Source organism: Homo sapiens, chromosome 16 (assembly GCF_000001405.40).
Source record: "Homo sapiens chromosome 16, GRCh38.p14 Primary Assembly".
Taxonomy (NCBI): domain Eukaryota; kingdom Metazoa; phylum Chordata; class Mammalia; order Primates; family Hominidae; genus Homo; species Homo sapiens.
The window spans coordinates 29,825,414-29,848,323 of record NC_000016.10 but is presented as its reverse complement, the minus strand read 5'-3'; the positions used below and the strand labels follow the sequence as shown (position 1 = coordinate 29,848,323).

At 52.8% G+C, this 22,910-nt stretch overlaps 1 protein-coding gene across 4 annotated transcripts in view, besides 3 other annotated features; it reads right to left on the bottom strand.

Moving 5' to 3' along the window:
* Positions 1-284: 284 nt before the first annotated feature.
* MVP (major vault protein) overlaps positions 285-22,910 on the bottom strand; it is a 27,646-nt gene continuing 5,020 nt past the window's right edge. Inside the window, exons 2-15 of one of the 4 annotated variants that reach the window (NM_017458.3) lie at positions 17,650-17,850; positions 17,251-17,446; positions 14,468-14,591; positions 14,258-14,389; positions 12,526-12,620; positions 11,366-11,602; positions 7,865-8,146; positions 6,484-6,728; positions 6,212-6,409; positions 3,445-3,831; positions 2,345-2,461; positions 2,040-2,166; positions 939-1,127; positions 285-562 (exon numbers count right to left, since the gene is read on the bottom strand). In NM_017458.3, the coding sequence (NP_059447.2) occupies positions 335-562; positions 939-1,127; positions 2,040-2,166; positions 2,345-2,461; positions 3,445-3,831; positions 6,212-6,409; positions 6,484-6,728; positions 7,865-8,146; positions 11,366-11,602; positions 12,526-12,620; positions 14,258-14,389; positions 14,468-14,591; positions 17,251-17,446; positions 17,650-17,774 (2,682 nt within the window). In that variant the 5' untranslated portion in view covers positions 17,775-17,850 and the 3' untranslated portion in view covers positions 285-334. Of the gene's footprint in view, positions 563-938; positions 1,128-2,039; positions 2,167-2,344; positions 2,462-3,444; positions 3,832-6,211; positions 6,410-6,483; positions 6,729-7,864; positions 8,147-11,365; positions 11,603-12,525; positions 12,621-14,257; positions 14,390-14,467; positions 14,592-17,250; positions 17,447-17,649; positions 17,851-22,910 lie in introns of those variants that run through there. The other 3 variants (NM_001293204.1, NM_005115.5, NM_001293205.1) reach the window with 3 other exon arrangements.
* Positions 1,669-2,168: an enhancer, noted in NCBI's record as "H3K4me1 hESC enhancer chr16:29857477-29857976 (GRCh37/hg19 assembly coordinates)". NCBI's record gives its function as "activates a minimal SCP1, AML or CMV promoter by ChIP-STARR-seq in primed H9 embryonic stem cells {active_cell/tissue: H9 hESC(primed)}" and the evidence as "EXISTENCE:reporter gene assay evidence [ECO:0000049][PMID:30033119]".
* Positions 2,169-2,670: an enhancer, noted in NCBI's record as "H3K4me1 hESC enhancer chr16:29856975-29857476 (GRCh37/hg19 assembly coordinates)". NCBI's record gives its function as "activates a minimal SCP1, AML or CMV promoter by ChIP-STARR-seq in primed H9 embryonic stem cells {active_cell/tissue: H9 hESC(primed)}" and the evidence as "EXISTENCE:reporter gene assay evidence [ECO:0000049][PMID:30033119]".
* Positions 22,168-22,740: an enhancer, noted in NCBI's record as "H3K27ac-H3K4me1 hESC enhancer chr16:29836905-29837477 (GRCh37/hg19 assembly coordinates)". NCBI's record gives its function as "activates a minimal SCP1, AML or CMV promoter by ChIP-STARR-seq in primed H9 embryonic stem cells {active_cell/tissue: H9 hESC(primed)}" and the evidence as "EXISTENCE:reporter gene assay evidence [ECO:0000049][PMID:30033119]".

The following is a 22,910-nucleotide window of genomic DNA, read 5'->3' as shown; positions in this document are numbered from 1 at the left end:
CCAGCCTGGCCAACATGGTGAAACCCCATCTCTACTAAAAAATACAAAAATTAGCTGGGCGTGGTGGCACGTGCCTGTAATCCCAGCTACTCAGGAGGCTGAGGCAGGAGAATCACTTGAACCTGGGAGGTGGAGGTTACAGTGAGCAGAGATCACACCACTGCACTCCAGCCTGGGTGACAGAGCAAGACTCCAGCTCGAAAAAAAAAAAAAAGATGCCAGGGGCACCTCCCCTCCCCACCATTAAGCTCCCTGGTAACCCCAACCAATGTCAGACAAGAGAAAAGTGTTGAAATTGTAAATGCCCAGAAACTTCCATTGTATTAATCAGGAGTTAGCGCAGTACAGGCACCACGTGGTTGTCTCCAGGAGCTTGAGGGGCCTGAGCAGACTGGGGGGATATCCCCTCCCCAGGGCTGGGCCCACTGGCCACCCTTCTGCCCAGGGGCTGACCCTCGGGCCCCATCCCCAGCAGCCCAAAGGCTGTGTTGAAGAGGTTGATGGGAGTGGAGCCATCGGTGATGAGGGTTGATTTCAGGCCCAGGGACTGGAGCAGTTTTACCTGGAGGGTGAGAACAGGAGGAAGTTGAGATGGGCGTCAAACCCTGGCCACTTCAGAGTGACCCTCCTTAAGTCAGCTGGTTTGAAGGGTCACCTCCCCTGCATCTGACCACCCTGCTTGACTGCCTTGGAAATGCCTGTCAGACTGGCGTCCCATCCATTTCCTGTCTCCTCCGGAGCTCTGGCTCACTGCTGGGTCTAGTACAGTGCCTGACGTTGATGCAGCGTGACACTGTGTGAATGTCCCTGCATCGTGGGTCAGGTCACTCACCCCTCCCTTCCCCACAATCTTTCCAGATGTTGTGTTTTCCGCCTTGGCTCTGCCTTCCTGGTTTCAAGGTTGGTCCTGAAACCAACACACCTTCCCCAACTCTCACCTGCATCTCAGGCCCAGCCACAGCAAGGTCCCTGATGGTGCTGGGGCCTATGGCCTCTGTCATCTGCTTGAACTTCTTCACCTCCACCTCAGCCAGCTGCTGAGCCTTGCTCACCTCCAGCTCCAGCTGGGCCCGGGCATAGACCAGTTCCAGCTCTCGGACCTTCTGGACCCTCTGGAGCTCAGCCTCCTGGAAGAGGAAAAATCAATCATTCTTTATTTTTTGACCCAGGCTGGAATGCAGATCAGGACTCACTGCAGCCTTGAACTCCTGGCTCAAAGGATCCTCCTGCCTCAGCCTCCTGGGTAGCTGGGACTACAGGCATGTGCCACCACACCCAGTCAATTAAAAAATTTTGTTTTTGTAGAGATGAGGTCTTGCTATGTTGCCCAGGCTAGTCTTGAACTGGTCTCGAACTGACCTCAAATGATCCTCCCATCTCAGCTTTCCAAAGTGCTGGGGTTAGAGACCTGAGGCACCACACTAGGCCTCTTTTTACATTTATTTTTATTTACTTTATTTTTGAGATGGAGTTTCACTCTTGTTGCCCAGGCTGGAGTGTAGTGGCACAACCTCAGCTCACCGCAGCCTCCACACCTCCTGGGTTCAAGCAATTCTCCTGCCTCAGCCTACCAAGTAGTTGGGGTTACAGACACATGCCACCATACCCAGCTAATTTTTTGTATTTTCAGTAGAGATGGGGTTTCACCATGTTGGCCAAGCTGGTCTTGAACTCCTGACCTCAGGTGATCCACCCGCCTCGGCCTCCCAAAGTGCTAGGATTACAGGCGTGAGCCACTGCACCCGGCCTCTTAATGGGATTTCAAGCATTAAATAAGATAATGCCTATGAAGCATACACAGCACTTGTGCCAAGGTGGCCAGTGCATGAGCGCCCAGCTGCAAAATGGGTGTTCTAATCCTTACCTTCCAGCAATGGAGTCAATGAATCCTACAAGGCAAAGGACTTTGCAAATGCAAAGTACTTGGATAGGGCTTTATGTTGGGGGACCTGGTGTCCTATACAGTCTCAGGGACTGTAGGGAATGGGCCTTTTCCAGGACTCAAGGCCACCCTCTTCTTAATGCCTCCCCCCACTCACCGTTTCAATGGCCAAGGCCTGTGCTTTTAGCTTGGCCTGCAGCACGGACCCTTCTCCCTCAATCCGGGCTGCCTCCGCACGGGACTCGGCCTCCGCCTTGGCAGTCCCGGTGCTCTCCACGGCCATGCTGGGGAGAAGGCAGAGTCAGGTAAGACCCGGGAGACAGCCCAGTCCCCCCACGGCCTTGGCTTATGCTGTAGCCGTGCACTGTCTCATCGACACCCCACCCAGGCCTGCTGCCCACACCAGCTGCTGTCCTAAGACCCTCGGCCCCTGCCAGTCTCCTCCTCTAGTTCTCAACCCACCTCAGAGCCTCCAGCTCCAAAAGTTCCTTGCGAGCTTTCTCGGCTTCTGACTGGTCCAGGATCTTCTGCCGCTCAAGCCGGCCGCGGGCTTCCTGCTCCAGTCTCTGAGCCTCATGCCTGGAGGAGACGGAGCGCAGGTGAGAGGCTGGCATGGGGCCAGAGCAGGAACAGGAGCGCCAAGGGCAGCGGCCACCAACCAAACCGGTGCCCAGGACAGACCCCAGCCCCTAGAAGGCACCCAATACGCAACTCAACCCAGAATGGTATACGCGCCACAAGCCAGTGTCATTCTAGGCCGGACAAATGCAGGCGTGACTGCGGCCCCCTACTTTCACGCCACTTGAGTGGGAAAAGAACAAGTATACAAGGAGGATTTCAGACAGTGACAAGTGTGGGAGAGACCAGGCAAAGAGGGTGCTATTCAGCTGTGAGAGAAAGAAAAGTGTTCCCCAAGGAGGGGATCTTTGGGCTGAAGCCAGAAGGAGAAGCCTGCCTGGAAGGGAGCTCAGGGGCGGGGGGAAGCTTTCTGGGCAGCAGGAATAGCCATTGCAAAAGGCCTTCAGGTGGGTCCAAGCTGTGCATTGAAGGAGCAGAGGAAGCCAGTGGGGCTGGAACATGTCAGCTGGAACATGTTCCAGGGACGAGGAGCATGGAAGGGGGAGGCTAGAAGGCAAATCGGGGGAGGCCGGCTGGAGCTGCAGGAAGGAGTTTAGGTTTTATCACATGCAAGATGGGAGGCTGCAGGAGCCACATCTGATACGTGCTTTTTTTTTTTTTTTTCTTTTGAGACAGGGTCAGTCTCCCAGGCCTGTTGCCCAGGCTGGAGTGCAGTGGCGCAATCATGGCTCACTGCAGCCTCAAACTCCTGGCTTCAAGTGATCTTCCTGCCTCAGCCTCTCACAGTGCTGGGATTACGGGCATGAGCCACCGCGCCCAGCCTGATTCACATTTTAAGTGGGTCACCTGATCTGTTGGGTAGGGAATAGATCTTTGAGGGTAGGGATGGCAGCAGGCAGTCCACAAGGGATGCCAGGTTATCCAGTTCCCAGCAGTGGCCTGCCATGGGCATTATAGGCAGCCGAGCTCCCAGCCTCACTTACTTGGCCGCCGCTTCCTGGGAGTTGGTGGTGATCTCGATGGCCAGCTGGACGCTGCGTTGCAGGGCGTCCCGGGTCCTCTGATCCACAGGCTCCACTGACTGCACGTCCACACTGCTGACCACCAGCCCGTTTTGGGGGAAGACAGCCTGGTCCCGGGGCCTGGGCAGGGCCATGCCATCGGGGCCCTTCGCTTCCGAGGTCTCAAAGCCAAAGACAGCAGTGCGAATGATGCGGGCTGAGTTCTTATGGAAGTCATCGAAAGTGACAGAGGCCACGGCCCCCCGCACCCGGGATGCGATGGCTTTGCAGGCATCACCTACAAAGTCTGGCACTGAAAAGAGCTTGGCCGTCTCTTGGGGGTCCTTCCGGTCATTCACCTCAAAGTGCCTGTGAACAAACAGGCCCAGAATGGGGAAGCTGCTTTCACCCAGGAATCTCTCTTTAGAAGAGACAAGGTCTTGCCATGTTGCCCAGGCTGGTCTTGAACTCCTGGGCTCAGGCAACCCCCCAACCTCAGCCTCCCAAAGTGCTGGGACTACATGTGTGATCACGCCCAGCCAGCAACTCTCTCCGAGAAGAACTTCAACACCCATCCTGTGTGGCCGGGCAGGGTCTCTCGCAATAGAGAATGCTAATGTATGCCTGGTAAGGTCCTAAAAACTTAACACACGTTCTCCTTTAATCCCACTCAGCCACCCTATGAGATGGCAATGATCACCACCCCCATTTTACAGATGAGGAAGTAGAGGTCCAGGGAAGTCAAGTGGCTGGCCCAAGACTTGCCATATAACATGTGACAAGCCAGAAAGCTGAACCAGGCAGCTGCTTCTGGGGCCTGTGCTCTTAACTATGATGTTGTAGTGCCTGGGAATATGTCGGCAGCCCTGGGAATATGTCGGCAGCTGTCTGCCGCCATCAGGGCACTGGCTGCTCTCAGCTAAGAGGTGAGGGACATGCTTGGGAGTATTGAATATTCTTTTTGGAGACAGTCTTGCTCCGTCGCCCAGGCTGGAGTGCAGTGGCTCGATCTGGGTTCACTGCAACCTCCGCCTCCCGGATTCAAGAGATTCTCCTGCCTCAGCCTCTTGAGTAGCTGGGACTACAAGCTGGGACTACAGGTGCCCACAACCAGGCCTGGCTAATTTTTGTATTTTTAGTAGAGACAGGGATTCACCATGTTGGCCAGGCTGGTCTCAAACTCCTGACCTCAAGTGATCTGCCTGCCTCAGTCTCCCAAAGTGCTGTGATTACAGGCATGAGCCACCACGCCTGACCCTCCCTCCCTCCCTTCCTCCCTTCCTCCCTCCCTCCCTCCCTCCCTCCCTCCCTCCCTTCCTCCCTTCCTCCCTTCCTCCCTTCCTCCCTTCCTCCCTTCCTCCGAGACAGGGTCTCTGTGGGTCTCTGTTGTCCAGGCTGGAGTGTGGTGGCACAATCATAGCTTGCTGCAGCCTCAAATTCCTGGGCTCAGGCAATTTTCCCACCTCAGCCTTCCAAGTAGTTGGGTCTATAGACATGTACCACCATGCCCAGCTAGTTTATAAATTTTTTTTTTTTGAAACAGAGTCTTGTTATGTTGCCCAGCCTGGTCTCAAACTCCTGGCCTCAAGCAATCCTCCTGCCACAGCCTCCCAAAGTGCTGGGATCACAGGTGTGAGCCACAGTACCCAGTCATGAACACTGTTTCTGTACATGACTTATCTCACCCAATCCTAATAGCTGCTATTGAGCTCTGACCAATAGAGGCACTGTTCTAACACTCATTGCATCTTTTCAATGGCCTTGTGAAGGAGAAAATGCTGTCTTCCTCATGTTACAGATGGGGAAACTGAGGAAAGCACCCTGTCCCTTCCCCAGGTCCACAGGCTGCAAACAGCAGGGCGGGGGCGCAGGCCAGGGCAGTCAGTTTCTGAACTTGAGTTCTCACCGCCCCCTTGCACTGCCCACTCCCGCCAGCTGTGTCCCATGCATCTTTTAACAGCCCGACAGTTACGCATTTGGCTGCACGCTCACTGGGAGCTTAGTTGGGGTAGTGTCCTGCTACTGGATCCCTGAGTCCTGACCCCAGGAGGTGAGCCCACGCCTTCCCTGGATTTGCGTGAACTCCTAGGTTCCCTCTTGACCTCAGCACTGAATGAGGTGTCCTGCCTTCATGAGGAGCCCAGCACCAGCACTTGAGCAGGACCCTCCTTTTCTTGGGGTTCCTAGGCTGCACCCAGCAGGAACCCTCACCCACTGCTTGCCACCCGGTTTGTTTTTTTTGTTTTGAAACAGGGTTGACCGGGTGCAGTGGCTCATGCCTGTAATCCCAGCACTTTGGGAAGCCGAGGCAGGCGGATCACCTGAGGTCAGGAGTTCGAGACCAGCCTGACCAACATGGAGAAACCCCATCTCTACTAAAAATACAAAACTAGCTGGGCATGGTGGCACATGCCTGTAATCCTAGCCACTTGGGAGGTTGAGGCAGGAGACTCGCTTGAATCCGGGAGGTGGGGGTTGCAGTGAGCCAAGATCGCGCCATTGCACTCCAGCCTGGGCAACAAGAGTGAAACTCGGTCTCAAAAAAAACCAAAAAACCAAAAAACCAAAAAACTAAAAAAACAAAAAACAAAGAAACAGGGTCTTGCTCTGTCACCCAGGCTGGAGTATAGTGGGGCCATCAAGGCTCACTGCAGCCTGGACCTCCTAGGCTCAAGTGATCCTCCCACCTCAGCCTCCCAAAGTGCTGGGATTCCAGGAATGCACCCCCATGCCCTGTCCCCATTTTTACCAGTTGTAGGCCAGCTGCAGTTGCAGCCTGGCATGATCCGCCGTTTCGATGGTGATGACGTCTGTGAAGAAGTCAGGCCCCAGCAGCAGGCAGAGCGCACGGCGGGCATGGGGACGCTTGGGCCGCCCAGCTGAGAGGGACAACACTGTGAACTGCTCCTCAGGACCCAGCGACACCAGCTCAGGCCCGAAGACCACGCTGCAGAGACAGCCGAGGGTCAGAGCCAGACCCATGGAGAGCCACCCCCTACACCCTGCGCTGCCAGCACTCACCGGGCTCGCTTCTCTCGGTAGTCGTACACCTGCACCGCAGCGTTGTGGGGCACGCGGTAGCTGACCACACGGGTCTTGTTCCGGGGCGCCAAGGGCTGGAGGCTCTTAGCTGTGTCCTTCTCACCCCTGTCTGCCAGAGGGTCCTGCCCCTTGTTCAGCAGCTCCTCCACCCCGGGAGGCAGCTCTTTCTCCCACAGGACTTCGTCCTGGGTCAGCATGTAGGTGCTTCCAATCACAGCGCGCACCTTGGGACGAGGACAGGGAGGGAAGCTGCCCGTAAGGGTGGAAGGGAGGAAGATCCGCCCAGCTGTCCCAAAGCAGAGCCCATCCAGGGAAGGCGCGCCACGAGGTTAAACACCTTCTCTACGGGGAGGCCAGGCTCCACCCCGGGTTTGCCATCTGCTGGCCCTGTCATCGTGGGCTAACTACCTCACCCCTTGGGCTTCAGTTTCCTCATGTGTCAAGTGGACTTGACGGTGGCTACCTTGCAGGGTCTAGGGGTGAATGACATCTTCACATGTCTAGCTCAAACAGCTCTTGGCATAGAGAAGGTGCTCAATGTTATTTCTAGAATCTTCCTTCATGGGGCAGTTTGGAGGGCACCTCGGGGATGGTGAAGTAGGCTGTGTACACGGATGCTCCCTCGGATTCCAAGCTGGACTTCCAGCTTGGATTCTTAGAGAAGGTTGGAGATGTGGCCCGAGGTCAAATCAAGGTCAAGGTTTTAGGTGAAGCAGAAAAAAATGAAAGATTCCACCGGGATATGGGCATGAGGGAGGAGGTCCTTCCTGTTCCCTGGCCACCCCATCAGACCTTTATGCTGGAAACCAGGTCTGCTGTGGGAAAGGGTCCCTGTCCTAAACCCCCACTTGTCCTCTCAGTGGACATGCTAATATTTTTTTTTGACAGAGTCTCACTCTGTCACCCTGGCTGAAGTGCAGTGGTGTGATCTCGGCTCACTGCAACCTCCGCTTCCCAGTTCAAGCAATTCTCCTGTCTCAGCCTCCCAAGTATCTGGGACTACTCAGACCACCACCACGCCTGACTAATGTTTGTACTTTTAGTAGAGACAGGGTTTCCCATGTTGGCCAGGCTAGTCTTGAACTCCTGACCTCAGGTGATCCGCCCGCCTCGGCCTCCCAAAGTGCTGAGATTACAGATGTGAGCTACCGCACCTGGTTGGTTCTAACATTTCAAATGAGACATTTAAGGCAGAAGGATGGCAAACACTCCACGTAGTGCCCTCCCCCAACCAGACAGCCCACCTGATATGGCTCTCCATGCTGCTGAAGTCCCTGCCCACCTCTTCCACACACCCAGAGGAAGCCGCCACCAAGGCCAAGGCCACGTGGCAGCACTGCTGCTCACTCCCAGCCATTACCTTTCCGGTCTTGACATCCTGCACATAGATGCCCTCGTTCTCGTCTAGAGGGATGGCCTGGCGCTCCTCCACCACCTCCACTTTGGCAGATGGCACATACTCCAGGGGTCCGCGGATGAGCCAGTGGTCCCCAGCCTGGTGTGAGACCTTCTCCTCATCCTCCCCCTCCTCCAGGGGCTGCAGGGCCCTCAGCAGCAGCCCCTGCTGCTCCGACAGCACATACACATCCTGGATGCCTTGTTCCAGCTGCTCTCCTGGCTGGAGGAAAAAAGACTTCTCTCCCTAGTGGGGAGACGTGAGGTTAGGGTCAGTGCCTTTAGGGTTGCGGGTGCTTCCAATGGTACCTCCCCAGTCCTGTGCTGTTTCAGGCCTGTGTGGAGGACAAGAGCACCAGAAGCCCGCCCCCACCCCCACATCATAATACGGTGAGGCACTGTCTGGACTGTGAGGCTCTACACAAACGCCTGCCAAATCTCATCTGGTCAAATGTGTCCTTGAAAGATTCCATAACTGTCAGGACCTGGATCCACGCAAGCTAAACCATTAAAAATCAACCTGTTTTTTCTTCTTTCTCCCAGGCTTTGTTTTCTAGAGATGGTGTAACCTAGGGCTTGACAAACTCTGGTTTTCAGGCCAAATCTGGATTCTGCCTTTTTTTTTTTTTTTTTTTTTTTTTGAGATAGTCTTCCTCTCTTGCCCAGGCTGGATAGTGCAGTGGCATGATCTCAGCTCTCTGCAGCCTCAACCTTCCAGGCTCAAGCAATCCTCCCACCTCAGCCTCCCAAGGAGCTGGGACTACAGATGCGCATCACCACACCCAGCTAATTTTTGTGTGCTTCGTAGATGATGGGGTGTTGCCATGCTGCCTAAGCTGGTCTCAAAGTCCTAGACTCAAGCGATCTACCCACCTCAGCTTTCCAAAGTGCTGGGATTATAGATGTGAGCCACCACGCCCAGCACCGCCTGTTTCTTAAAAAAATTTTGAGATATAATCCACATATGAAATTTTCCCATCTAGAGTATACAATTCACAATTCAGTTGTTTTAGTATACTCAAAGTTGTCCAACCATCACTGCTATGTTAAGTCTAGAGTATTTTCGTCATCACCCTGAAAAGAAATCCTGTACCTAGAAGTTACTGCCACTCCCCACCTACCCCACCCACCACTAGTCTATTTTCTTTATGTGTTTACCTATTCTGGACATTTCACATAAATGGAATCATGCAATATGTGGTCTTTGATGTCTGGCTTTTTTCTTTTTCTTTTTTTGAGATGGAGTCTCGGCTCAGCAGCCCAGGCTGGAGTGCAGTGGTGGGATCTCGGCTCACTGCAACTACTGTCTTCCAGGTTCAAGAGATTCTCCTGTCTCAGCCTCCCGAGCAGTAGCTGGGATTACAGGCACCCGCCATCATGCTAGCTAATTTTTGTATTTTAACAGAGACGGGGCTTCACCATGTTGGCCAGGCTGGTCTTGAACTCCTGACCTCAGGTGATGTGCCCACCTCAGCCTCCTAAAGTGTTAGGATTACAGGCGTGAGCCACTGCGTCCAGCTGGCTTCTTTCACTTAGCATAACATTTTCAATTTTATCCATGTTGTAGCACGTATGTCATTATTTTTTGTTTTTCCTAGAGACAGGATCTCACTCTACTGCCTCAGGCTGGAGTACAGTGGCACAATCATAGCTCACTATACACTCCACTTCCTGGGGTCAAGCGATTTTCCCACTTTAGCCTCCCAAATAGCTGGGACTACAGGTGTGCCACCATGCCTGGTCAATTTTTAAAAGTTTTTGTAAAAATGGGGTCTCACTATGTTACCCAGGCTGGTCTCAAACTCCTGGCTTCAAGCAATCCTCCTGCCTCGGCCTCCCAAAGCACTGGGATTATAGTCATGAGCTGTTGCGCCTGGCCTGCCATTTCTTTCTTATGGCTGAATGATATTCCATTGTATGGATATGCTACAATTTTTTATCCATTCATTATATATGTACATTTGGGTTATTTCTAATTTTTTTTTTTTTTTGAGACAGTCTTGCTCTGTCACCCAGGCTGGAGTGCAGTGGTGTGATCTCGGCTCACTGCAACCTCCGCCTCCCGGGTTCAAGCAATTCTCCTGCCTCAGCCTCCAGAGAAGCTGGGATTACAGGTGCCTGACACCATGCCCAGCTAATTTTTTTGTATTTTTAGTAGAGAAAGGGTTTTGCCATGTTGGCCAGGATGGTTTCTAACTCCTGACCTCAAGCGATCCACCCGCTTTGGACTCGTAAAGTGCTGGGATTACACATGTAAGCCACCATGCCTGGCCTATTTCTACTTTTTCTGCCTCCTGTTTTTGCAGATAAACTATTCCAGGAGCATGGCAGTACTCACTTGTTTACGTAGTGCCCAAGCTGCTTTCCTGACATAACAGCAGAGTTGAAGAACTTCCACAGAAACAATGACTCACGGAGCCTGGAGTATCTACCATCCAGCCCCCTTTACAGAATGAGTTTGGCAACTGCTGGTATTCCCACATATAGTTCAGAGAGGGGATGAAGTAGGGGGTGGGAGAGGGTAAACCAAGAGGTTTATTTTACAAAAGATGACAAAGCAAAGTGAACACCAGGATATTAAAGATGTGAAATATAGTCACTGCATGATAGTTCAGTCCATTACAGACTGCACATGGTGGTCCCGTAAGATTATAATGGAGATTTTTTTTTTTTCTGAGAGTCTCACTCTATCGCCCAGGCTAGAGTGCAGTGGCACGATCTCGGCTCACCACAGGCTTGATCTCCAGGGTTCAAGTGATTCTCGTGCCTCAGCCTCCCGAGTAACTGGAATTACAGGTGTGTGCCACCACACCTGGCTAATTTTTGTATTTTTAGTAGAGACAGGGTTTCCCCACGTTGGCCAGGCTAGTCTCGAACTCCTGACCTCAAGTGATCCACCTGCCTCGGCCTCCCAAAGTGCTGGGATTACACGTATGAGCCACTGTGCTGGCCTATAACGAAGCTTTTATATTGTATTTTTACCTTACCTTTTCTATGGCTAGATACACAAGTACTTGCCATTGTGTTCAGCTGCCTGCAGTATTCAGGACAGTCACATGCTGCACAGGTTGGCAGCCTAGGGGCAGGCTACGCCATCTAGACTAGGTGCCATCTAGGTTTGCATAAGTGCACTCTTTTGCACAAAGACAAAATCATCTAAGGACTATTTCTCAGAATGTATCCCCATCATTAAGTGGCGCATGACTGTATCAGAGTTTCAGAGTCTCAGGCAGCGGGTAGCCAGGAGGCCTTCCCAGAAGGGGAATTAACTTCAGGTCTGAGGGGTAAGTCAGAGGCTGCCAGGAATCAAATGGGCCAGTGTCTCAGGTGTGTAAGAACTAAGCATGCAAAGGCACAGAAGGTGTTCCTAGAACGTGCGTCTGGAGGAGAGAAGGCAGAGGGCCTCATGCCACTAGAGGACATACATCTCCCAGGGCAGTCCTCTGTGGGGGTGTAGGGACCTCACCTTGACCACGCGCTTCTGCCCCAGCTGATTCTTGCCATCCGGTCCGACAGGGTCGAGAATCACGCAGTAGTTGTGGGGGCCCAGGGTGGTGATGGGCACAACCCCCAGCACCTCCTCGTGGACATCTGGCACGTGGGCCTCTGTGTCCTGCACTGTTACCAGCCACTCCTCCCCAGTGCGGCGGGACACTCCCCTGAAGTCCCGGAAGTTCCGCCGAGCCCGGAGGTGCAGGGCTGTCTGCAGAGCAACATGTTGGGTATTTGAGTGACCTGCCTCCAACTTCAGGGGATCTGCGAGCCCCATTGGCCACCAAATGCTCCCAATGCTCCCAGATCTCAGAGACAATTTCTACCAATCCAGGGATTGTTTTTTTTTTTTTTTAAATCGGAGTCTCTCTCTTGTTGCCCAGGCTAGAGTGCAAAGGTGCGATCTCAGCTCACTGCAACTTCCGCCTCCTAGGTTCAAGCGATTCTCCTGCCTCAGCCTCCTGAGTACAGCTGGGATTACAGGTGGGTGACACCATGCCCAGCTAATTTTTGTATTTTTAGTAGAGATGGGGTTTCGCCATGTTGGCCAGGTTTGTCTTGAACTCCTGACCTCAGGTGATCCTCCCACCTCAGCCTCCCAAAATGCTAGGATTACAGGCATGAGCCACTGCACCCGACCGGCTTTGTTTTTTTTTTTTTTTTTTGAGACAGGGTTTCGCTCTGTTGCCCAGGCTGGAGCACAGTGGCATGATCATGGCTCACTGTAACCTCTGCCTCTGGGGTTCAAGCGATTCTCCTGCCTCAGCGCCTCTGGAGTAACTGGAATTACAGGCATGCTCCACTACACCCAGCTAATTTTTAAATTTTTTGTAGCGATGAGTTCTCACTGTGTTGCCCAGGCTGGTCTCAGACTCCTGGCCTCAAGTGATCCTCCTGCCTCAGCCTTCCAAATTGCTGAGATTACAGATGTGAGTCATTGCGCCCAGCCCCAGAAAGACTATTTAACCCTTCAGATGATCCAGAATACTCAGGCAATCTGATCTCTGAATTTTTTTAAGTGACCCTAAAATTATTGCTTCTCTTTTACTCTCATGCCATTCTACCACCATTCTCTGCCACTCGGAGGGTTCCCTAGCCCCAGGTCCCTTAAACCACAGCCCCCAGAGCACCAACCTTTTCCGTAAGGATGACGGCGTCCACCAAATCCAGAACCTCCTCAAACACCGCTGGGAGGTACGCCCCTACTGTGGTGACCAGCCATTCTTCCCCTGGGCCAAGAGTGGAGGGTAAGGGACAAGGGCCCCCCAGCCTGCTCCCCACCTACCCCTCCCCCACAGCTTAGACACAGGGGATTGACAGATTTCATAGGCAAAAAGATAGCACTGACCCCAGGCTCAAGTTCCTGACTGCGGTCCTCTTATTCATTCTTTTGAGGCCAAACCCCCACCCCAGTTGAATTTTAAAAGTTTTTTTTTTTTTTTTTTTTTTTTTGAGACGGAGTCTCCCTCTGTTGCCCAGGCTGTGATCTCAGCTCACTGCAACCTCAGCCTCCTGGATTCAAGTGATTCTCATGCCTCAGCCTCCTGAGTAGCTGGGATTACAGGCACGTGCCACCACGCCCGGCTAATATTTGTATTTTTTGTAGAGATGGTGTTTCACCATGTTGCCCAAGCTAGTCTGGAACTCCTGGCCTCAAGTGATCCGCCCACCTTGGCCTCCTAAGATGCCCAAGTTGCTGCTATGCCAACAGCCTGTTCTGCCTTCTCTAAGCTCCAAAGACCAACTTTTGTCCTTCTGCTAAAACAGGCAGCAGAACTGCCTCTGTTAGAGTTGTGGATGTCCTTTGGTTTACTGGAGAAGCCAGAGTGCCTGGATGCAGGTCCCAGCCTCGCCCTGCCTGGCCACACCCCAGGGCAAGCAACCTGCATTCTGCATCCCAGTTTTGATATATAGAAAGTGGGAATGGCCGGGTGCGGTGGTTCACGCCTGTAATCCCAGCACTTTGGGAGGCCGAACCTGGTGGATCACGAGGTCAGGAGATCAAGACCACCCTGGCTAACATGGTGAAACCCTGTCTCTACTAAAAAAAAAAAAAAAAAAAATACAAAAAAAAAAAAAATTAGCTGGGCATGGTGGTGGGCGCCTGTAGTCCCAGCTACTCAGGAGGCTGAGGCAGGAGAATGGTGTGAACCCAGGAGGCGGAGCTTGCAGTGAGCCGAGATCGCGCCACTGCACTCCAACCTGGGCAACAGCAAGAAAGCAAGACTCCGTCTCAAAAAAAAAAAAAAAGTGGGAATGGTAGCACCTCGGGGTAGTACCTCTGTGGCCCAGGATGGAGTGCAGTGGTGCAGTCACAGCTCACTGCAGCCTCCACATCCTGGGCTCAAGAAATTCTCCCCCTTCAGCCTTCTGAGTAGCTGGGACCACAGGTGTGTGTCCAAGGCCAGGCTAATTTTTAAATTCTCTGTAGAGATGGGGTCTCACTGTGTTGCTCAGGCTGGTCTTAAGCTCCTGGGCTCAGACGATTCACCCACCTTGGCAAAGTGCTGGGATGACAGGTGTGAGCCACTGTACCTATTGGCCTACATTTGTCAATTGTATTTGAACATCTTCTTTGTTGATCCAGAATCAGGTAAGTCATGGCCACTGCCCACAGCTCATGGTGAAGGTGAGGGAAGGAAAAGCCACATCCGCATGGTCATGGTCACATTTTCCAGCCCAAGTGGAAACAGCATGAAGCGGGGGTGGGGAAGGAAGAGCAGTGGGTGGCCCTCAACAGCTTTCAAAAGATACCAGGAAAGCGCCTCTCTGGGGCTACAGGAGGCTTTCCTCAACCTTCCCCTGCTTCCCCTGCAGTGGGGACCCCTCCTGCCCACCCACCATCATCGCCCCTTGGTGACCCCACCTGTCACCCTCTCCTTGCCGTCCCGGTCCCAGCACTCCTTGCGGGCCCTGAGCCGCAGAGCCTGGTTCTGCCTGATGATGGTGGCCTGAATGATCTCCACGACCTCCACTTCCTTCCGGGGGATGTACGTGCCTGGGGAGGGAAGGTGATGGTCAGAAGGTATCAGGGCTATGACAGGAAGGCAGGGAGCCCTATGGAGACAGAACTTACCAGGTCCCTCGAAAAGCCACTCATCTCCTGCCACCACCTTGTCTCCATCTTTATCCTCAAAATCAAGCAGCGCCTTTAGATGGAGGGCAGTGTTGGGCAGAACCACCTGCAGGGGTGTGATGTCCTAGTGGGGAAGAAGGTGGAGACACAGAACCATCAGTGCTGTGACCCCAGGGCCAAGCCTGATGCTCTGGAGGCGGGTCCACAACATCCATCTCTGTATGTCCTGAAATAAGACTGGGGTGGAGGCCGGGCACAGTGGCTCACACCTGTCATCCCAGAACTTTGGGAGACTGAGGTAGGAGGATTGCTTGACCTCAGACATTCAAGAACCAGCCTGGGCAACATAGCAAGATCCCATCTCTAAAAAAAAAAAAAAAAAAAAAAAGTGTAGCCAGGCATGGTGGCGGCGCACACCTGTAGTCCCAGCTACTCGGGAGGCTGAGGTGGGAGGATCACTTGAGCCCAGGAGGTTAAGGCTTCAGTGAGCTATGACTGCACCACTGCACTTCAGCCTGGGCAGCAGAGCAAGACCCTGTCTCAGGAGTTCAGATGAAGGAGAAGTTAGAGAAGGCCCTTTGAACTGAAACTGGGGCTCAAAGGAAGAGCTGGCTTTTTTTTATTTTTGGAGATGGGGTCTTCCTATGTCATCCAGGCTGGACTGCAGTGGTACAACCATGGCTCACAACAGTCTCAATCTCCCAGGCTCATGTGATCCTTCTGTCTCAGCCTCCTGAGTGGCTGGGATTACAGGTGTGTCACCACCCCCAGCTAATTTTTTTTTTTTTTTTTGAGACAGAGTCTTGCTCTGTCACCCAGGCTGGAGCGCAGTGGCGCAATCTCAGCTCACTGCAATCTCCGCCTCCCAGGTTCAAGTAATTCTCATGCCTCAGCCTCCCAAGTAGCTGGGATTACAGGCGCATGCCACCACGCCTGGCTAATTGTTGTATGTTTAGTAGAGATGGGTTTTCGCCATGTTGGCCAGCCTGGTCTCAAACTCCTGACCTCAAGTGATCTGCCTACCTTGGCCTCCCAAAGTGCTGGGATTACAGGCGTGAGCCACTGTGCCCGGCTGAACATATTTAAAATGAAAGCTTAGGCAGGGCTTGGTGGCTCACACCTGCAATCCCAGCATTTTGGGAGAATGAGGTGGAAGGATCGTTTGAGCCCAGGAGGTTGAGGCTGCAGTGAGCTATGATCACCCCACTGCACTCTCGTCTAGGCAACAGGGGGAGATCCAGAAAAAAAAAAAAAAAAAAAGGCCAGGCGCGGTGGCTCACGCCTGTAATCCCAGCACTTTGGGAGGCCAAGGCAGGTGGATCATGACGTCAGGAGATCGAGACCACCCTGGCTAACACGGTGAAACCCCATCTCTACTAAAAACACAAAAAGTTAGCCGGGTGTGGTGGTGGGCGCCTGTAGTCCCAGCTACTCGGGAGGCTGAGGCAGGAGAATTGCGTGAACCTGGGAGGCAGAGCTTCCAGTTAGCCGAGATTATGCCACTGTACTCCAGCCTGGGCAACAGAGTGAGACTCCATCTCAAAAAAAAAAAAAAAAAAAAAAAGGTACAAGAATCCCTATATACTTTTCACTTGGATTCCTTAAGGGTTATTGTCTTAATCATTCTTCATTTTCTCTCTACACACACACTTCTTCCCCCAAACTGTCTGCACCTAAGTGGACATGAATGTCTCTAAAAGTTCCCCATGTTCTGCTATTATGCTTTCAGGATCAAGCAGCACTGGTTAGTAAAGTCAGTAAGAAAACCATTAAATGGGGCTGGACACGGTGGCTCATGCCTGTAATCCCAGCACTTTGGGAGGCCGAGGCGGGCGGATCATGAGGTCAGGAGATCAAGACCATCCTGGCTAACACGGTGAAACCCCGTCTCTATTAAAAACAAACAAACAAACAAACAAAAAACCCAAAACCATTAAATGGCCAGAAGGTAAAGGTGGAAGAACAGGTAAAGGAATGAAGGTGGGACACCCACCTGCTCAGGCCCAGGCCTGAGGCCAACGGGGACAAGAGCCTGGCTGTAGGTTCAGGCCTGTGATGGCTTCTCCTAGAACAGGCACAGCCTGGGGCCTGGGCTTGTCACTGCTGCTTTGGCACTGCCCACCAGTGTCTGGCACCGGGTGAATGAACTGCTTAACCTTGGCACATGTCATTTAATGCCAGACTGGCTGGGCACTTCTGGTAGGCTCTGGAGCCTGGGAAGGTGAGATGGGCCAACAGTTCTCAGAAAAGAGGCAGGTGTGTTTGGGGCATGTGTGGAGGATGGGGGTGGCTGGAGGTGAGTGGAGGTACAGTGAGTCAATTCCACCCTTGGTGAGAGCCAGCAAGTGTCTCTCCCCACCCCTCCCACTGCCCTGGTTTGTTTTCCCTTTAGAACTCGGTACAGGCCGGGAACAGTGGCTCATGCCTGTAATCCCAGCACTTTGGGAGGCCGAGGCAGGTGGATCACCTGGGGTCGGGAGTTTGAGATCAGACTGGCCAACATGGTGAAACCCTGTCTCTACTAAAAATACAAAAATTAGCCGGGCGTGGTGGCGGGTGCCTGTAATCCCAGCTACTGAGGAAGCTGAGGCAGGAAAATCACTTGAACCCAGGTGGAGCTTCCAGTGAGCCGAGATTATGCCACTGCACTCCAGCCTGGGCGACAAGAGTGAAACTCTGCCTCAAAAAAGAAAAGAAAAAAAGAAGAAGAAGGCAGCAGTATAGAGCCCAAGGCAGGTGGAGGACAGGTAGGGTGGGGCATAGGGAGTGAGGAAACCAGGTACCTTTTCCAGCACCTCCCCTGGGTACAGGGGGAAGGGGTCCTGGGCCAGCCGGATCTCGAGGTCAGCGTGGCGAAGCCGAACTTGCCCTGTGACATCAAACAGCACCAAGCCCTGGGCATCCCGAGACACAGGGTTGGCCACTGTGCAGTAGTGACGTGGGGGGACGGTCACCATGCGCATGGGGGCAAACAGTACCCTGCAGGAAGATGAGAAGAGGTGTGAGGACCTGGGACCAGGTCTCCACTACCAAAGAGGACACCAAATGAGAGAGAAACCTCTCTATCGCCCAAGCGAGGGCCACTCCTGCTTGGGAAGAGGGAGGAGGATAAGGACCATCATGCCAGCCAAACAGGCCCCCACATCCCCAAGGATCCCCCACAGCCCAGCCCCCACACCCACCTCTCATTGTCCTGCCGGATGTAGGTCTTTGGCCCGACCTCCACACGGGACACGTTGCTGTTCTGGTCCAGCACATGGATATAGTGGTATGGGGGGATGCGGATGATGAACTCTTCAGTTGCCATGGTGACTCCTAAGCCCAGGGCTCACAAGAAGATGACTGGTAGGTGGGGGAGACGACACAGGATGAACCTGGGGAGCCTGGGGTGGGGCAGGCATGAATCTGGTGACAGACTCTGGGTGGGATACGGCCCTACCTCCTCCAGCCAGGCCACTGCACCCTTCCCTGTCCGCATCTGCATGCCCACTGCTCCCTGTCTTCACCCCACCCAAGACGACACAGCCCATCCTGACCTTACCTTTGCCAAGAACTGCTTGATGCAGTGAGCCACAGAGGCCCAGGGTTCCTTGCCAATTCCTTTCCCTCACTCCCATCAACTACTTCCCCCTACACTGCCACCGGCACTGCAAAGAGCTTCAGATCAAGGTGCTCCCAGTCTCTTACGGTGGAGAGATACAGCAAGCTGGGAAACTGGGGAGCCATGGAGGTGGTGACATGGCCTTGTCCAGCACGCAATGGGCAGCTGCTCTGAGGAGCTGCCTGGCTCCTCCAGAGGGAGGCAGCCCTTTATTTCAGAGAATCCTGAGGCCCCAGCTGTATTCAAATGTCAGCCCATAGCCAAAGAATATCTGTATGCCTCAGGTAGTCCAGTGGCTAGGATTCGGCCATAAACAAAAGGAATGTTTACATGAGCTGTGTCTATGTTCCCTGCCTCTTTCCTATGCTTTAGTAATCCTGGGCTGAATGTGAAGACCTAGTCCACTGCTCATAAAGGGATCCCAGATGGAACTGAGCCTTCCATAGAACCAGCTGCATTACTAACACTGCAAATCACTCTGGCCCCCTCGTCCCCAGTTCTCTCCCATCCTCAGCTCCTGCAGTTGTGAGCAAGGGTAGGGTGGAAAGGAAGGAGAAGGGGGATGATTATCATGTTCCACCCACCCATCCCACCTGCTTCTGAATCCTGAGTAGTTTCACCCAGTGCTTGGCCTGTTCAGGAATGTCACATGCCCTACCTAAGCCCCACCCCTGCCCCCAGCACTTTGGACTTTGGACATGTCCCTTTGAGTCACACAAATGGGACCAAGTTTACTAGGTGCTCCAGAGCCTCATCCTTAAGAGACTCAGGTCAGACTTTTTTTTTTTTTTTTTTTTTTTTGAGACGGAGTCTTACTCTGTCACCCAGGCTGGAGTGCAGTGGTGCAATCATAGCTCACAAAAGCCATGCCTCAGCCTCCTGGGTAGCTGAGACTACAGGTACATGCCACCATGTCTAGCTAATTTTTTTTTTTGGAGAGATGAGGTCTCATTATGTTGCCTAGGCTGGTCTCGAATTCCTGGCCTCAAGCAATCCTCTTGCCTCTGCCTCCCAAAGTGCTGGGATTATAGGCGAGCCATCACACCTGGCCGATGAGGAGCCTCTTTTGTCTGGTGGTGGCCTCAAAAATGTCTGGCCAGGACAGGTGCAGTGGCTCATGCCTGTAATCCCAGCATTATGAGAGGCAGAGTGAGACTCCATCTCAAAAAAAAAAAAAAAAAAGTGGTTCCTCATCAATTCCACCATCTACCCAGCCTCCAACCCCAGGTGAAAAATATAAGTGAGGGGAAGAAGGGAGTGGCCTGGCCGAGGAAAAACAGGCAGGAGCCACAGATTACAGAATCAAGGCTGGATACAGCCCAAGAGGAGTTATACTTGAGCCCCACGATCTGTAAAACTTCAACTTTTTGTTTAGAAATTGTGAGTCTTCACAAAATCCCAATTCCTGATTCACTTGAAGAATTAGAAGACCAGCAATACAGCCTACAGTCAAGCAGCAGCTGCCCCATTTAGATGGAACACAAGCTTTCCCACCTACCACAGTCCCCACCACCCCCTGCTGCCTTACAGCTATGCCATTGCACTGCCCAGCTCTTGTTTAAAAACCCTTTAACTTGGCCGGGCGTGGTGGCTCAAGCCTGTAATCCCAGCACTTTGGGAGGCCAAGGCAGGTGGATCACCTGAGGTCAGGAGTTCGAGACCAGCCTGGCCAACATGGCGAAACCCCGTCTCTACTAAAAATACAAAAATTAGCCAGTTGTGGTGGCGGGTACCTATAATCCCAGCTACTAGGGGGGCTGAGACAGGAGGATTGCTCGAACCTGGGAGGCAGAGGTTGCAGTGAGCAGAGATCGTGCCATTGCACTCCAGCCTGGGCAACAGAGCGAGACTCCAATCTCAAAACCAAACCAAAAAAACCCTTTTACTCAGCAGCGTCCAATAGAGCTTTCTACAATGATGAGAATATTCTAAATCTGTGCTGTCTTTGGACTAGCCACATCCACATGTGGCTCCTGAACACTTAAAATGTGGCTAATGGCCGGTCATGCTGGCTCACACCTGTAATCTCAGCACTTTGGGAGGCTGAGGTCGGCAGATCACAAGGTCAGGAGTTTGAGACCAGCCTGGCCAACATGCAGAAACCCTGTCTCTACTAAAAATACAAAAATTAGCTGGGCATGGTGGCACGTGCCTGTAATCCCAGCTATTTGGGAGGCTGAGGCAGGAGAATTGCCTGAACCTGGGAGGCAGAGGTTGCAGTGAGCCAAGATCTCGCCATTGCACTACAGCCCTGGGCGACAGAGCAAGACTCTGTCTTGGAAAAAAATAAAATAAAATGTGGCTAATGCATCTGAGGAACTAAATTTTTAAATTATTTTTTGAGACAAGGTCTTGTTCTGTTGCCCAGGCAGGAATGCAGTGGCACAATCATGACTCACTGCAGCCTCAACCTCCAGGCTCAAGTGATCCTCCCACCTCAGCCTCCCGAGTAGCTGGGATTACAGGCATGTGCCACCACGCCTAGCTAATTTTTTCATTTTTTTTGCAGAGACAAGGTCCTGCTATGTTGCCTAGGCTGGTCTCGAACTCCTGGGCTCAAGCAATCCTCCCGCTTCAGCCTCCTAAAGTGCTGAGATTACAGGGGTACGCTACCGTACCCAGCTAATTTTAATTTAAATTGCCAAATATGGCTGGTTGATCCCATACTGGACAGTAGAGCTCTAAATAGTTGAGACCCAGAGAGGGACAATGAATCCTTTAGGGCCACAAGCAAGTTAGTGGTGCTGTTGGGACTAGAACCCTGGTGGAATGCCTGGTCCTGTCTTTCTAGAGAGGCATCATGGTCCCGTGGCTCGGGGCACCCATTCCAACCCAGACTGCCCGGGCTTACAACTCTGATCGGCTGCTTTCGTGTTTTCACATAGTTTCCTCACTGCCTTGCCTCATTCTGAAAGAGGTTACAGTTTGGGTCTGTTTTCCTGGCACACTTTCCACATCACAGGGAGGTTATTCTGCTGCTCATTCTTTCATCTTGCAACTTTGTATGAGATCTGACCTTGATCTCATTTTCTGTTGCTCATTTTTGCTCAAAGTTACTTTCCCTTCGCTTGTAGGAGGGTGGCTTGTCTAACATCAGAGCTCCCTCTTCTGCGGTTTGGGAACACAGGGGCTTGCTTTCCGATGTCCTGGCTCTGTTCCTCTCGCCACTCTTATGGGGACCTTGTCTTTTCTTCCTATAGCCCTGTCCTGCTCACCTTTGATTCCACCCCCCAGTTGCTCCACAATACGGGGCTCTGTTCTGGAAAGACGACTTCCTAGAGTCCAGAGGGCTGGGAATGCCTAGATCTGGATTTTTTTTTTTTTTTTTTTGAGATGGACTCTCACTCTGTCGCCAGGCTGGAGTGCAGTGGCGCAATCTCGGCTCACCGCAACCTCCGCCTCCCCAGTTCAAATGATTCTCCTGCCTCAGCCTCCCAAGTAGCTGGGACTACAAGCGCCTGCCACCATGCCCAGCTAACTTTTTGTATTTTTTTTTTAGTAGAGACGGGGTTTCACCATGTTGACCAGGATGGTCTTGATCTCTTGACCTTGTGATCCACCCGCCTCGGCCTCCCAAAGTGCTAGGATTACAGGCGTGAGCCACCACGCCCGGCCTTTTTTTTTTTTTTTTTTTGAGATAAGGTCTTACTTTGTTGCCCAGGCTGGAGTGCAGTGATCACAGCTCACTGTAGCCTTGAACTCCTCAGCTCAAGGGATCCTCCCATCTCAGCCTCCCGAGTAGCTGGGACTGTAGATACGTACTGCCACACCTAGCTAATTTTTAATTTTTTGTAGGCATAAGGTCTTTGTTGTCCAGGCTGGTCTCAAAATCCTGGTCTTAAGTAGTCATCCAGCCTTAGCTTCCCAAAGCACTGGGACTACAGGTGGAGCCACCGCACCCAGCCAGGATGCCTGGATCTTGGCTCTCACCCTTATGGGATCAGTGATTTGAACAAGTCCCTTGACCACCCTGTGCCTGTTTCCTCATCTACAAAATGAGAATGGATAACATTATCAACCAAGTTAGCACATAAAGCACTGGGAACAGAGCCTGGCTCTTCATCTGCACTGTTTGACTGCAGAGGAGGGAAGAGTGCCTGAGGCCCAACTTTCCTATCCAGTGAGGAATCTAGGGAATATAACCAGTGCTGGGGGCTCCCCACCTGAGCTGGCATGCTGGTTTAAGCCTCAGTTGTTTACTGGTCAGTGGCTTATTTCACCCCAGCTGCAGGGATGGAACAGCAAGTAGGGGCTTTACTGCCAAGTGAAGCTTTTTCCACTGCTCCCTTGGAGGGTTCTCCGCAGGGCCGAAACCTGGCCAGGAAACCAGATGGGAGAAGAGGAAGGGCTGGGGCTGTGAGCGGAGGTATGGACAGGGCTCTGAGGCCCCCCCAGGAAAGATTTGAACTCTAGAAGGCCGTGCAAGGTTGGAAGCAGGCTCTGGGAACAGCCTCCATTTGGTTCATCAGTGGATAATCTCCCCAACACCCCCCACAGCTGAGGCCTCTCCACCATCTGCCGCCCCAGCTGGGCCCAGTCAGGGGGTCTGAATGCCTCGCCCAGCTCAGTGACTCAGCAAGAGTCATCCTCATGGCTGGACTCCTGCCTTGTTCTGAGGCCAAGCCCTCGGCAACTGCCCCTGCATCAGCACCAGGACCCCACCTCACCTCCCTGACCACCCACCTGCCATGCCCTAAACCTGGGCCTTCTGCCTAGACCACCCAGGACAGGTCTTGCCTTCTACCCTCGCCATCTATGGAGGTGAGCCAGGGAAACCCTTTGACTCAGGCAGCACATTGGTGACAAGTCTCAGATTGAGTTTTTTGTGGTTTCCTTCCAGAT